At 36.1% G+C, this 15,673-nt stretch overlaps 1 pseudogene across 1 annotated transcript in view; it reads left to right on the top strand.

Moving 5' to 3' along the window:
* OVOS1P (ovostatin 1, pseudogene) overlaps window positions 1-15,673 on the top strand; it is a 127,984-nt pseudogene that overhangs the window by 83,918 nt on the left and 28,393 nt on the right. Inside the window, exons 20-25 of the transcript NR_153413.2 lie at window positions 370-454; window positions 3,996-4,113; window positions 8,155-8,266; window positions 9,481-9,639; window positions 10,331-10,558; window positions 12,034-12,088. The product of NR_153413.2 is annotated as an ovostatin 1, pseudogene (transcript). The remainder of the gene's footprint in view (window positions 1-369; window positions 455-3,995; window positions 4,114-8,154; window positions 8,267-9,480; window positions 9,640-10,330; window positions 10,559-12,033; window positions 12,089-15,673) is intronic.

Genomic DNA, 15,673 nt, shown 5'->3' on the forward strand with positions numbered 1-15,673 from the left:
ATGCCTGTAATCCCAGCTACTCGGGAGGCTGAGGCAGGAGAATGGCTTGAACCCCGTAGGCAGAGGTTGCAGTGAGCCAAGATTGCACCACTGCACTCCAGCCTGGGCAACAGAGTGAAACTCCGTCTCAAACAAACAAACAAAAAGAAACAAAATGTGAAATTCTGAAGATAGGGAAAAGAAAAGAAAGAGGAAGAATTAATCATTAGTGAGACACCACCATGTAGAATGGTGCCACACAATTTGGGGCAAATGATACATAGCTAATACAGATGGAGGGTACAAGGAATCATAGTAAGCTATACGACTGCAATAAGGTTTGCTTGCCTGTGATTGTGCAGGCTAACATATATTTCTCTTCGTTTCCAGTGCTGCCCAAGTTTGAAGTTACAGTCAATGCACCACAAACAGTAACTATTTCAGATGATGAATTCCAAGTGGATGTATGTGCTAAGTGAGTATTTATTCAGATTTACCTTCACAAGAAAACACAAAGCTCAGAGAGAATGAGAAGTGAGATTAACCATAAAACTTTAATTATTTATATGCTTACATTAGTGTTATTAGAGAAGCAATGAATCCTCATTGTAGAAAATTTGAAAAATATAGAGAAAAACACAAGACATTACCTATTATTAATTTGACCAACTGCCATTAACATTGTAATGTCACTAACATTGTAAGTTTCCTCTAATTTTAATGAATATTTTCCATGACTGCAATCATACTTTTCTATTTATAATAATTAAGAAAACATGCCTTCATATTATGCCAATCTTTTCATGAATTCCAATTTTCTGCTGCACATATTTTTATGTGACTATACCAAATTTAATTATTTTATTATATAATATGTCGGCTGTTTCATTTTGTTTTCCTGGTAATTAATAATTTTGCAGTATATGTCTTTGTGTATAACATATAATAGGTAGCTTTTGAATGAAAAATTATTTACTTAAGAAAGATTTCCAGACAAGGAATTACCAAGACAAAATATGTAACATTCTTTTAGTCTTCTGATTGCCATACTCCTCACTACACATGTTGTGCCAGTGTAGAATTCTAGCAGCTGGTGTGAAATTCTCATTGAATCTTTACTATCATGGCATATTTTCATTAAAATTAGAATATGAGCTATTGAAATGGCAAAGTGAAGATAAAGCATCTTATCAAGTTAATCTGAATTATTTGAATTCTCTTAATGTAAAAAAATCTACACGATTTCAGAATTTGTATTTTGTTTTTGGAAAATTATTTTTAATTTTTTTTTCTTTTTTACTGCCTTTTCTCAAATTTCTAATAATAATTTATAAACAATTGGCCAGGCACGGTGGCTCACACCTGTAATGCCAGCATTTTGGGAGGCCAAGGTGGGGGGGATCATCCGAGGTCAGGAGATCGAGACCAGCCTGGCCAACATAGTGAAACCCCGTCTCTACTAAAAATACAAAAAATTAGACGGGCATGGTGGCAGGCAGCTGTAATCTCAGCTACTCGGGAGGCTGAGGCAGGAGAACTGCTTGCACCCAGGAAGTGGAGGTTGCAGTGAGCCAAGATCATGCCACCTCACTCCAGCCTGGGCGACTGAGTGAAACTCTGTCTCAGAAAAAAAATAATAAAATAAAAAATAAAATAAATGTTTTTTGAATGTCAACTAGTTTGTTAAGCTCTGCATATATCATTACCACAGTGCTATGAGATAGGAGCTATTGTCATCTCTATTTTATAAAGAAAGATAATAAGACACAGAGAATTAAAATAACTTATCAACAGTAATGGAGCTTGTTGATGGCAGAACTAGGATTTAGACCTAGGTTTTTCAGCTTCAAAGCTACTCTCCTAATCAATAACTGTCATATACTTTATAAAAACAGTTAACAATATTAATATTTGCCATATTTGTTAAGCACTTTGTTTAATTTATGACATGAAAATTACTTGCCTTTGAGTATTTCCAGCAGTCTATTAAAGATACATTGATTAAAGGGCTGTCTAATGAACGTGCAAGGGTGGTTCTTAAGATGCCTTTGATGCCCCAGAGAATCTTGCAAACCAGTTTTCAGCCTTCTTTTTTTTTTTTTTCAGTAGCATTTCAAATCTTCTTTTGACTTTAGGAAATGATTATAAATTTTTTTCTAAGTTTTAATGAAGAGTAGTTGAAAATACCAGAATTTAATATACGTAATAGATGAGAGACTGTAGATCACTGATGTTAAAAATGATGAGGTGATAAATTTAAGCTGGAAGAAATCCAGAATCCTAAACAGGTTTCACTAGAAAAGCCAAACGCAAAGCCAGAGCTTTCAGTGGCATTAACATCTCATTTATTTATCTGCACAATAGTGTGCTAAAAAAAAACCCACAACACATTGGAAGAGCAAAAATGTTTCTCAAACATGGCCTTTGGAAAATACTTGCAAACCTCATGCTAACATGGAACTGGTAGTTCCTTAGCAGTATGTCAGGTTACAATCCATGATCCTGATTTCTTGAAATTTCTTTGATGTTGTATTTTGGATAGAGTTATATTAAGGAGTAAATCAGTATCAGCAATAATAATATCCTGCCAGGAGGCCAGGCAGCTAGACTGGAGCTGTGCTTGCTACAAAGTTATTTCTGGGCAGATTGTGAGAGCACTGTTTCTAGAAGGTTCACGTCAGTTGTATACTGTGTCTCAAATTGTATGATACTGTGTCTGTGTTTCTTTAGCCTTTTCTGGGATTTAGCTTGGAATGGCTAGAGAAAACAAGAAAAAAATTGGATTATTTTAGCAAACAAAGTCAGAGATGACTTAGGCTTTTAAGAGGGAAGAAAATTTACCTACAGACGAAGAGATTTTAATACACTGCATTAGCATTCACTGAAAGCTTTTCAAATCACGAAGGGATTATTCTGTCCTGTTTTTAAAATTTAAGCTACATGTCTTATAGGCATATGTTAGCTTACAGATAATACAATAAGACTTTTATTTTATAAATAAAAAACATTAAGTAGAAATAAGAAGAAATGTTCAGGTATAATATGTGTGGCCAGATCTAAGTCTGGCCTTTATATAATCATGAAACCTGACACATGATTTTATTGGTATGAATTGACTCAGAATCTCAAAAGTGTTAGGAATTTTTAAATAGAAAGAGAAAAAGGTGAGTGGAAAGAAAAGGGCACAGGCTATGGAGTGAGGCAGATCTGAGTTCGAATTTTAGTTTCATCAATTACAATGTGGAGAAGTTACTTGACCTCATTTTACAAATCAGGGTCACTGGGAAAAATAAATGATATATATCAGTGTCCAACAGTTAGAAAAAAGTATTATAATCTGTGAAAATAATATTCACTTTTATTATATGCTAGTTTTACATTTGTTGTCTATTAACAAAACAAAAAACTCCAATTGACTGGATTTGCCTTTGGTTGAACCTTTACAAATCTTGTGTTGTAGTTTTGTGTTTTAGGAGAAAATGAGATACTCAAACCCACCCTGTAAGGTATTATATTTTTGGTCAAAGCAGAACCAGTTCATGCCAGCCCCATAGCCTTTATATTTATTGAGTGGTAAATAAAAACTTGTGTTTAAAATGTTGATCTGGAAATGTTTCAAGATCCTGAATCATCCAAGTTTTATATACATATATATTTTTCTGATAAAAGGGAAAGTGCTACGATGTTATGATGTTTCTATCAGATTAAAATATATTTAAAAAAACTCAATTTAAGCATTAAATCATATTCAATGAGATTTTAGATTATTTTAGATTCTGCCTTACCCTGAATTCGATTTTTTAAAGGCAGCCAAATCCTCCTGACATCAAATGCCCAGTTTAACCTGAATTCTGTGGGGAACCTAAACCCTCACCAATAGGGAGAATTCCTAATTCAATTTGTTTAGACTGGGTTACTCACAGTTTAGAGACTTCCTATATAATTTCTGAAGAAGATCATAAAATATTGCTATGATATTGCTTATCTGTAATTATAACTACACCTTCCCCCATTAGGTACAACTTTGGCCAACCTGTGCAAGGGGAAACCCAAATCCGGGTGTGCAGAGAGTATTTTTCTTCAAGCAATTGTGAGAAAAATGAAAATGAAATATGTGAGCAATTTATTGCACAGGTACAGACCATGATCTTTACTCCAAAAAAAGTTCTCACTCATTTTTCATTCTTATTCTTTCTTTGATTTCATTTATAAGGGGAACTTAACAATACTATTTTCATTTTATTGATAATGGAGTTTGCAGCTAAATAAAGTGAAGAAAGAGAAGAAAATACAGTGCTTAAAGCAGTTTTTTATTCCATAGACCATGTAAATTGTTCTCCACCTATAGATTCATGGGATTTTTAGAATATGAAAGGTATCGTGGGCTTTGTTGTTTTGTATATCGCCTAGGTGGCCTTCCTGATTTTTCTTTGGAGAATCGTTAATCATCCTTTAAATGAGTCTGTGATATTACTCTCCATGCCACCTGGATTTTTTTTTAGTGGAAACAGCTTACTTGCAATCAACTGCAATTCAGAGTACCCCCACTATATTACTTTAGACTTGCAGTTCATATGTGAAGTCATCATTTGCTCTATCTGCAGCATCCTAACCTTAAGTGAACAACTCTTCCTATCTCTTTGAAATTGTCTTTTGACTCCCCAAAGTGAAGCTTGTGTACGCCACATAGTTCATATTTTAAGTCCAATTGTCCTAAAGTTACTCATCAAATTTAGTGAACATCCTCTAGGTAAATATCAATAATTGACAAAGACAAGCAGAATCCTACCTTTACATAGGAAATGCAGGCAAAGAAAACTAGGGTGGAATTTCTCCATGTCAGCAGTACATTCTGATAGAGTTCAGTCAACTGTTTTACACAATGATGGGTGTTCCCTCAGCAAATGGTTTATTTTTTTCCCCCATGTGAAAAAAATACCCATAAACAATCTGGTAGAGGCTAGGAGCAGTGGCTCACACCTCTAATCTGAGCATGTTGGAAGGCCGAGGCGGGAGGATCATTTGACTCCAGGAGATCGAAACCAGCCTGGGCAACATAGTGAGCCCCTTCTCTACAAAAATTAGCCAGGCACAGTGGTGCACATCTGTGGTTCCAGCTACAGGGAGGCTGAGGCAAGAGAATCACTGGAGCCCAGGAGGTCAAGGCTGCAGTGAATTGTGTTCGCACCACTGTACTCAAGGCTGGGCAACAGAGCAAGACCTGCCTCAGAAAAAGAAAAAAAAAAAAAATCTGTCCGGTGGAACTATCTTTATATATGAGAGGCTTTATTTACTTGAAATAAATTTCTTAGAGTGAGTTTCCTGAGTCAAAGGAAATATAGATAATGTTCATAGACAGATAATTTTAATTTTAATAAATATTAGCATATTGCTCTCCTAAAAGTTTTTAGGCATTCAAATTCCTGTCAGAAGTACATGAGAATACTATATTTTCCAAATTACTTTCAGCAATATATTTAGAAGTTTTAAAAGTTTTTGTCATTTTGATAGACACAAATTTAGCTTGTTTTAACTTGTGCTATCTAATTTCTATTTAGTTTGAGCAACTTTTCATATTTTTGTTATCAATTTGGATTTGAGAACTCTTAATTACCCATGTTTTTCTGTTCATGTGAAATGGAAACTTTCATTGTAAGTACTGCCTTCCATCCTCCAAGCATTTTTTTTTTAAGCCCATTATTTAAATAGGCAACTCATTTACTTTGTCATATTTTTGACATACCCACCTTCCTTATGTTCCTGGGTTTCCAGCCTTAGAAAAAAAATCTCACTGGCCCCTGTGTTGTACATGTGGCTATCTAAGTATGCTCTTAAGATCGTTTACAATTTTCTAATAGACAAAAAGTTCACTTCCAATGATGTTCTAAAATGGGAATTTTTCTTCCAGATGTGGGCTGTGTTGTGTTAGCACCTATCTCACAATTTTGTTCTCTCTCACTCTTTGTCCTAAATCATGCCCACGAAAGTTTCGTCTATGTTATTGGTTCTTATTTTTACTATTTTCTTTCTTATATTATTTTGTGTTCCTAAATAATTTATTTTCTCTTTCATCTTATTAATTCTTTTTTCTAATATTTGTAGTTGATTTTGTTGGGGTTTAAAAAATATATTAGCTGTTTCTTTTAGTAATAAGCACATTCAGTGTTTTACATTTCTTCTTAACTACAGCTGAAAACCGTTGACTTTGATGCAAAGCATTTTTTCATTACTCTAATATCTGGATTCTTATTGGTTTACTTTATGTATTCTCTTTGTTTCAAGGATTCCTGAAAAAAGGCTTTTCTCTTATTTTCGAAATAATTAAGGTTCTTCTGATCACTTTCTATGATTTCATTTTAATTTGACTATATTATCATTAGACAAAGTAAAATTGCTTTTGTTGTTGATGTAATAGCTGTTAATTTAAGATTGAGAAGCACATACTCTGCAGCCAGAGCAGCTCCTCAGCACCACCGTCTCTTAGCTGTGAGATCTTGGACAGGCTACATGATGGACCTATTTTAGTTTCTTCATCTATATAGTAAGATAATAACAGTACCTAGCTCATGTAATAGTTTTGAGTATCAAATAAACTGATATATCCTTATAACATTTTAAATCTGGAATAAACACTGTGTTGTAAAATATAACTAAATTTATATTTCTCTGATTATTGACATTACTGATGATAGATTAACTATAGATTTTTTTTGTTATTTTAAATAAGCAATATACCTTAAAAAGTGTTTGTTTTGTTGTTACACATGTGCTGAGCGCTTCTGTTCCATCTGTTTTAGTGCCTTTCTAGATGATTAGAATTTCTTCCTCTTAAAACACTGTGAACCAAAAGTATCTGAGACAGATGTCAATCAATTTGCAAAGCTTATGTTGCCAAGGTGAAGGATGTACCTATGACAGCCTCCAGAGGTCCTACCAACATGTGCCCAAGGTGGTTGGGGTACAGCTTGCTTTTATACATTTCAGGGAGATGTGAGACATCAACAAATATGTGTAAGATGTACATTGGTTCGGTCCAGAAAGGCAGGACAATCCAAACTAAGGGGGTTTCCAGGTCATAGGTAGATAAGAGACAAACAGTTGCATAAAGAAGAAGTCTTTGAGGCCGGGTGCAGTGATTCACAGCTGTAATCCCAGCACTTTGGGAGGCCGAGGTGGGCAGATCACGTGAGGTCAGGAGATTGAGACCAGCCTGACCAACATGGAGAAACCCCATCTCTACTAAAAATACAAAAATTAGCCGGGCGTGGTGGCAGGTGTCTGTAATCCCAGCTACTCGAGAGACTGTTGCAGGAGAATCGCTTGAACCTGGGAGGCGGAGGTTGCAGTGAGTCAAGATTGGGCTATTTCACCCCAGCCCGAGTGACAGAGCAAGACTCTATCTCAAAAAAAAAAAAAAAGAATAAGTCTTTGTCTTTGATCAGCCTTTCACTGAATACACAAATTACATGTGAGAGGAGGATAGAGGAATAGTCACTTATGCCTTAGTGTGGCTCAGTAAATCTGCATTTTTACATAAACTATTAGGCAGAGGAAGCAATCAGATAAATCAGATACATATTTGTCTCAGGTAAGCAGAGGGATGACTGAGTCTGTCTTTTGTCCCACGCCTGTAAAGATAAGCTATGAATTTATATTGCCAGGGTGAATTTCCAAAGAACTGTTTTAAGGAAAAGTTCTTCAGGCCCACAAAGAATTTCCTTGTGGGCAAATTGTGAGGGAGGTATGTAGTTTTTATCTTTGTAGCTACCTTATTTGGGAATAAAATGGGAGACAGATTTGCCCAGCTGTTCCCAGCTTGCCCTTTCCCTTTAGCTTAGGGATGTTGGGCTCCTGAGATTTACTTTCCTTTCACAATACCATTCAGCTTCATTTCCATCCTTTAATCTTTTCTCATCTACAATGTTTCCAGGAGAATTTCCTTGAAATCTGTAAAATACAGATTACCTCCTTCCCTTATTTAAAATGCTGATGTAAATATTCGCCTCCTCCTACTCCTCCTTTAATTCTTTGGCCATTTCAACAAGTTTATGAGGTAGAGCCGTGGCACGGGGTGGGGATGTTAATATATTTGTGCAAAAACCATATTTTAAAAGACACTTAAAAAAACCTCTTGGATCGCTAACATTTTAATTATACCTTCTCTTTATTTTTCAGTTGGAAAATGGTTGTGTTTCTCAAATTGTAAATACAAAAGTCTTCCAACTCTACCGTTCGGGATTGTTCATGACATTTCATGTCGCTGTAATTGTTACAGAATCTGGGACAGGTAATTACTGTATTTTTTGGACGACCTGGGGATATATGTATGGCAACTTACTGGGAGAAGCTTGTTGAGTTAGCACTAAGTACAAAATTCAGATTATTTCTAATTTAATACAACTGGGAATAGTTGCAAGTGCAAAAATTATTACTGAAAAATTTACAAGATTGCACAAAGTGAGTGTTCAATAAGTATTTGTTAAAAGAATGAAAGAAGAGGCCGGGCACGGTGGCTCACGCCTGTAATCCCAGCACTTTGGGAGGCCAAGGCAGGTGGATCACCTGAGGTCAGGAGTTCAAAATCAGCCTGGCCAGCATGGTGAAACCCTGTCTCTACAAAAATACAAAAAATTAGCCGGGCATGATGGTGAATGCCTGTAATCCCAGCTACTCGGGAGGCTGAGGCAGGAGAATCGCTTGAACCCAGGAGGCGGAGGTTGCAGTGAGCTGAGATCGCACTATTGCACTCCAGCCTCCAGCCTGGGTGACACACCAAGACTCAGTCTCAAAAAAAAAAAAAAAAAAAAAAACCAGAAAGAAGGGAGAAAGAGATTAATTATTTAATTTGGAGTGGGAAAATCAGATTTAACTACTAATTATTTCTTGTTATTTATAAAGGAGTTTGTGATGATGCCATTGTAAAGTGCTCTATATAAGCATACTTGATCAATATCATGATGCTATTCACTCTGGGCAAGCTGGTCACATTTATATTGCTGTGGATGGTAACTTAGACATTTTCACTCTGCTGTGTTCATCATTCCTTACAGTTATGCAGATCAGCGAGAAGACCTCAGTTTTTATCACTCAATTGCTTGGAACTGTAAACTTTGAGAACATGGATACATTCTATAGAAGAGGGATTTCTTATTTTGGAACTGTGGGTGTGACTAAAGAATACATGCTTCCATTTCATTTTCTTGGATCATAGATTGCCCTTTGAAAATTTCTGGTCACTTTTTTCCTACTTTTATAATACATTTTAAGCACTACTATGTCTGAGGTGCTAGAAAGTGTCCTAGATTGAAAGAAGCAATAGATAACAGTATTGTTTTTTCCATACTTTATATTATATATCTATGTATTTAATAGAGCATCTTTCTGTCTGTTGGAATTTAGGAAAATGACTAGGGATCACATTTATGAGTAGAAAACTATTTCTCTGTAAAAATGTAAACATTTTGTGTTTTAAGTCATGTTAATTATTCTTTTCTCGTACAGCTTAAATTTTCGGATCCCAATAATGTACCTATGGTGAACAAGTTGTTGCAACTGGAGCTCAATGATGAATTTATAGGAAATTACACTACGGATGAGAATGGCGAAGCTCAATTTTCCATTGACACTTCAGACATATTTGATCCAGAGTTCAACCTAAAAGTAAGACATCAAAGAACAGAAGAAGACCATTAGACATCCCACAGAGGATTTGGATATCAGAAATGTTAAACATTAGGAATATCTCAAAAGATAGCTTGTATACAGAATATATTTTAAAGAAAATTTAAAATGTAACTTATTTTATAAATTTGCTTGTTCACTAAATAATACATGAGAATACTTGTTCAAGAGGATGGGAAGCTAAAAGTCTATCACGATTGTTATAAATTTGCTAACAACTAATATTTTCCTTTAGGAAACAAGAAGTAGCTCATGAGGATGATTTGACTTTCTTCCTCAGATCATTTCATGCATAGATAGGGGAGATCCTATACTTTCTGTTTATTTTCTGCTGCTTAAACAGAATTTTGCAGTTAAATAATTTGTCAGTGTTCACATGTAGCTGAAAGAAACAGAACTGAAACCCAATTCTGTGGCTTCAATTAAAGTGTAAAAAACATAACAATTCACCATCAGTCTAATGAAATATTTACACAGTCTTTCATGGTCACGTTTTGTATACAAAGAGCAGGTGCTATTATTATTTTGATTCCAATAACTTAACATTAAAACGTCAGCCACAAGCTGAGATTCCTCCCTACTCTGGAGAGTTGAGAAGCCTCCATTCTCAGTAACAACTGTCTTCGGATGTCATGATACTAAGACCCTTCACTTTCTTTTGTCATCTCAGGCCACATATGTTCGACCTGAGAGCTGCTATCTTCCCAGCTGGTTGACGCCTCAGTACTTGGATGCTCACTTCTTAGTCTCACGCTTTTACTCCCGAACCAACAGCTTCCTGAAGATTGTTCCAGAACCAAAGCAGCTTGAATGTAATCAACAGAAGGTTGTTACTGTGCATTACTCCCTAAACAGTGAAGCATATGAGGATGATTCCAATGTAAAGTTCTTCTATTTGGTAAGTCTCAGTCAGTGGGTTCCTGGAATCCTGTTCAATTGCACGTCTGCTTAGCCCAGCACAGCTTAGAAAGCATGCATCAGTCATGCCACGGTGACCAGAGTAAGGGCAGCCTTCTCACTTTGCTGGTGAATACTGTTCGATCCATTAACAACAAACAAACACATAGAACGATCTAAGGCAATTAAAGTTTCCCTAAGGTTGAAGAACTTGCTGTTCAGAGTCCACTTGTTTAAGCATTCAAATGTAACTCATATCAAGTATTTATGACACTCTGTAATAGTAAAATATTGGGCAGATGCCAGAAAGTAAGGTGGAAAGCTTATTTTGATAAGCAGTAAAAGGACTTTATTCTCTTGGTTCTGTCCATTTTGTCTTTCTAAGGAGGAGCCCCCAACCTTTGTGGCACCAGGGACTTTCTTCATGGAAGACAATTTTTCCACAGATGGGGTGGGGATGGTGGGATGGCTTCAGGATGATTCAAGCATATTACATTTATTGTTCACTTTATTTCTATTATTATTACATACTCACCATAATGTGGAATCAGTAAGAACCCTGTGCTTGTTTTCCTGCAGCTAGATGGTCCTATCTGGTGGTGATGGGAGACAGTGACAGATTTTTAGGCATTAGATTCTCATAAGGAGCGCACAACCTAGATCCCTCACATGTGCAGTTCACAGCAGGGCTTGTGCTCCTATGAGAATCTAATACCACTGCTGATCTGACAGGAGCTCAGGTGGTAATGCTTGCTCGCCGCACTGCTCACCTCCTGCTGTGTGGCCTAGTACCTGACAGGCCATGGACAGGTACCTGCCGGTACACAGCCTGGGGACTGGGGCCTTCTGCTCTAAGGGCTATTGAAGAGTGATAAGACACAGACCTGGAAATTAAGACATTAACTTGAATCCCCCACCCTCTCCTAGTTAGCATGCAAGTTAGTGCATCTTGGACGGATTGTTTGAACTCTTTAACCCTTGGCTTCCTCAGGTGTACAGTGTAATTGGAGATTATAAGACTTACCTCTTAGGGTAAGTGTTCTGTGTCAGGCACTGTTATAAGGATTGTATATGTGTTAACTCATTTAATTAGCCTTATAGATATCTCCGTTTTACAGATAATGGAACAGAGGCAAACAGGTAAAACATCATGTTTTAAGTCACAAAGTTAATGAGCAGATGAAGGCGTATTTGAAACCAGACAGCCTTGACAATTTCAGAGCTTTATGTGCCACTTTGCACAGTGCATTGCACATAGTTCACAAAGTTTCCAGTACATGATAGAATCTCAATCAGTTTTAGTCACTTTCTCTGCTCTTTTCCAACTTATGCAAAGTCTATTAATATTTGCTTGTGGAAGCTACCCTATCTTATGGAACAGAATTACCATTAAGTAATGAATTACCTAATCGCAATATGAGAATATGATGACATCAGATAATATATTGCATGTTATGTTTTCTTTGTTCCACACAGATGATGGTAAAAGGAGCTATCTTACTCAGTGGACAAAAGGAAATCAGAAACAAAGGTATACATAATGTATTCTTTTTAAAATATGTGCTCTAACTTCATTTTTTCTTGTTAAGGATATATAGACATTATATATATGGGAATTATATATATTAAGAAAATATATTTAGTCAAACATATATGTGTGTGTATATATATGTGTGTATATATGTATGTGTATATATATATATAGTGAAAAGAAGTTAGAACGAGCACTTATTTCAATTTGTGGATGAAGGTAATAGTTAGCACAGCCTGAGGGAAGCTACTAAATGTCTTGACGAAGGAGAGTTCTACCTGTTTCTTTTATTGTCAGATCATTGAGTACATTAGAAAAGAGGTGTACAACCGCATATTCTCACTCATAGGTGGGAATTGAATGGTGAGAACACATGGACACAGGAAGGGGAACATCACACTCTGGGGACTGTTGTGGGGTGGGGGGATGGGGGAGGGATAGCATTGGGAGATATACCTAATGCTCGATGATGAGTTAGTGGGTGCAGCGTACCAGCATGGCACATGTATACATATGTAACTAACCTGCACATTGTGCACATGTACCCTAAAACTTAAAGAAGAAGAATAATAATAAATAATAAATTAAAAAAAGAAAAGTGGTGTACAAAATCCCAGTATTGTTATTATCTAAATTATGCAGTCTTCTTTATTTGTATATGTACTTCCTATTATTTGATTTATTTGTCTTGAAAACAGGGCCCAATTTACTCTTTCTGTCCATGAGCTATTCTCTTTTATCTAAGTGTACCAGTGATTCAGGAAACTTTCAGCATCGTATCTCTTCGTCTCCTATTTACACAGCCTGGAATGGAAACTTCTCGTTCCCAATCAGCATCAGTGCTGATCTGGCTCCTGCAGCCGTCCTGTTTGTCTATACCCTTCACCCCAGTGGGGAAATTGTGGCTGACAGTGTCAGATTCCAGGTTGACAAGTGCTTTAAACACAAGGTGATGTTTCTCCTATTTCTGGCCTGAGAAGTGGGAACAGTTTGCTCCCTGCTGTCTTCTCGCCTGACTGCTATCACCTTCACGTGGGAAACTCACACTCAGTGCTGGCATAATTGAATTATTAGGGGATGTGAGAATCACCAAACACAATGCATGATCCTTGGCAGCAGTGCCAATCCTGAGACGGCAGCAGGGTGGTGAAGGGGGTCTCCTGCAAAGAAAGCTGAGGGTGAGAGTGGGCAAGGGAAATACAGTATAGAAATCTATAAGGATTTATTCAGGAGAGATTAAATGTATTCAGATCATCTTTACATAAAATGGTCTCTACTCTCATCTCTTTTTTTTCTCTACTTTAGGTTAACATAAAGTTCTCTAACGAGCAGGGCTTACCTGGTTCCAATGCTAGTCTCTGTCTTCAAGCGGCGCCTGTCTTATTCTGTGCCCTCAGGGCTGTGGATAGGAATGTCCTTCTACTGAAATCTGAACAACAGCTGTCAGCTGAAAGTGTAAGCTCTCTGACTTCCTCGTTTTTCATGTTTCTCTGGACTACCAGAAGTCTTATCCTTCAGATGATGTCTTGAACATGTTGAAAATATTGAATGTTTTCTTCCTTTGTTCCTTCATGGATTATATACTTATTTTTCTTGGCTATCCTAAGAACATGCTTATAACAATACAGAATTTGATAGATAATTATAACAGTTTAGGAATTTTACAACTGTGATTTTTAAAAATCATAGGTGTAATCACAGATGTGGAAACTTGGAATAAAATGAAATCTCTATGTTCAAGGATATGCTTGGATTCAGTGTAAAGTTATCTATAAATGGATATTGTATTTTCTTAAACATTTCCAGACCTGGAATTCCAGAAGTTCACATCCAATTTATTTCGGTTAACAATTGTTGGATATTTTCCGTTTATTTCTAACACAATTACATATAAATAACTATTGAAATTTATGATCATATTTAAATCTAATTTAATAATTTAATTTTTTCTGATTAATATTATACCTGTATAATTTGGAAAATGTGCGAAGTATACAAAGACATAAAGAAGGAAATCTTTAAAGTCATTTATAGTCCTAACACTTAGGCATCTTTATAGTTTTGCTGTAATTTTTCAAGTCTCTTTTCTGAAGGCATATATATTTTACAAACTTGAGATCTCACCAAAAAATAGTTTTGTATTTTGCTTTCAACATTCTATAGTAAGTCCAGTTTTAAGTATAAAATTATAGAATTCAGTAATAATATTGAATAACTATGGATCATTATATAAAACATATTTTTCTCAATGCAAAACATAAATACATTTAAGTTTTCTATTACAGGGAGCAAAAATACTTTTAGTTAGAAGCTTTCAGAATCTGAGGGGGCATCAACAAATAAAGGATAAATTTATCTATAAATATGGAATATGGCCATGTGCTGTGCTCACGCCTGTAATCCCAGCACTTTGGGAGGCCAAGGCGGGCAGATCGTTTGTGCTCACGAGGTCGAGACCAGCCTGCACAACATGATGAGACTCTGTCTCTCCCAAAAATATAAAAAATGAGCAGGGCACAGTGATGTGCACCTGTGATCTCAGAAACTTGGGAGATTGACGTGGGAGGATCACTTGAGCCCTGGCTGGGGCAGAGGTTGCAGTGAACCAAGATCGTGCCACTACACTCCATCCTGGGTGACAAAGCGAGACCCTGTCTCAAAGAAAAAAAAGGAATATGTATATATATGTGTGTGTGTGTGTGTACATATATATGTTTATATACATACACACACACACACACACACACACCTTTTTTTTCCCTTGAGAGTTTCATGGATTCAGAGTAAATAGCTTCTGCTCATTCTTTCTACAGTTGGAGGTGGCAATATCTTAGGAAAACTGCCTCAAGAAAAGACCATCAAGGGACCTCAAAAAAAAAATTCTAGAGGCATTTTTCAGGGGTCTCAGAATATATCAGAGCCAAAAGAGATTGCCCTTGTTTATTATTGATAGCTATATTAATAGTATAAATCAAGTGAAGTTCTATAAATGAGTGAATTCCAATTTATATTCTATAAGTTTGTGTTATTTTTTGTATTATCTTATGTAAGCTTAGTTTTTAGTTTTAAATAATTTTTAAAAGTGCAAGAATTACACAGAGAACTCCCATGTACCCTTGGCCTGATTCACCAGTTTGTGAACATTTCGCCATACTTGTTTTCTCTTTCTCACTCTCTCCACCCCTACACACACACACACATACATACACACACACACACACACACACACACAGAGAGAGAGAGTTTATGGCATTTCAGTTTTTTCTGAATCATTTGAGACTAGGTTACATACATCAGTCTATTGTGAAAGAAAAATACAAACAACTCCGGACCCCAATTCACGATGCTAAAAGGACAAAAAATGAGGCTGAAAACTGAGTCATGGAAGAAGTTGTTTTTCTTTTGTTCCTAAGCAGATAGCTACTTTTTCTTCCTTGTTAGATTAGTTAGTGGTTTACCTATTTTGCCGAGTTTTCCAAAAACATATAATTTTAATTTATTAATGTGATGTAATATGATGTGAGGTTTTTTGCTACTCCATCACATTAATTTCTATTTCTATCTTCATTATTTCCTTACTGGTGC

This window comes from Homo sapiens, chromosome 12 (genome assembly GCF_000001405.40).
Source record: "Homo sapiens chromosome 12, GRCh38.p14 Primary Assembly".
Taxonomy (NCBI): domain Eukaryota; kingdom Metazoa; phylum Chordata; class Mammalia; order Primates; family Hominidae; genus Homo; species Homo sapiens.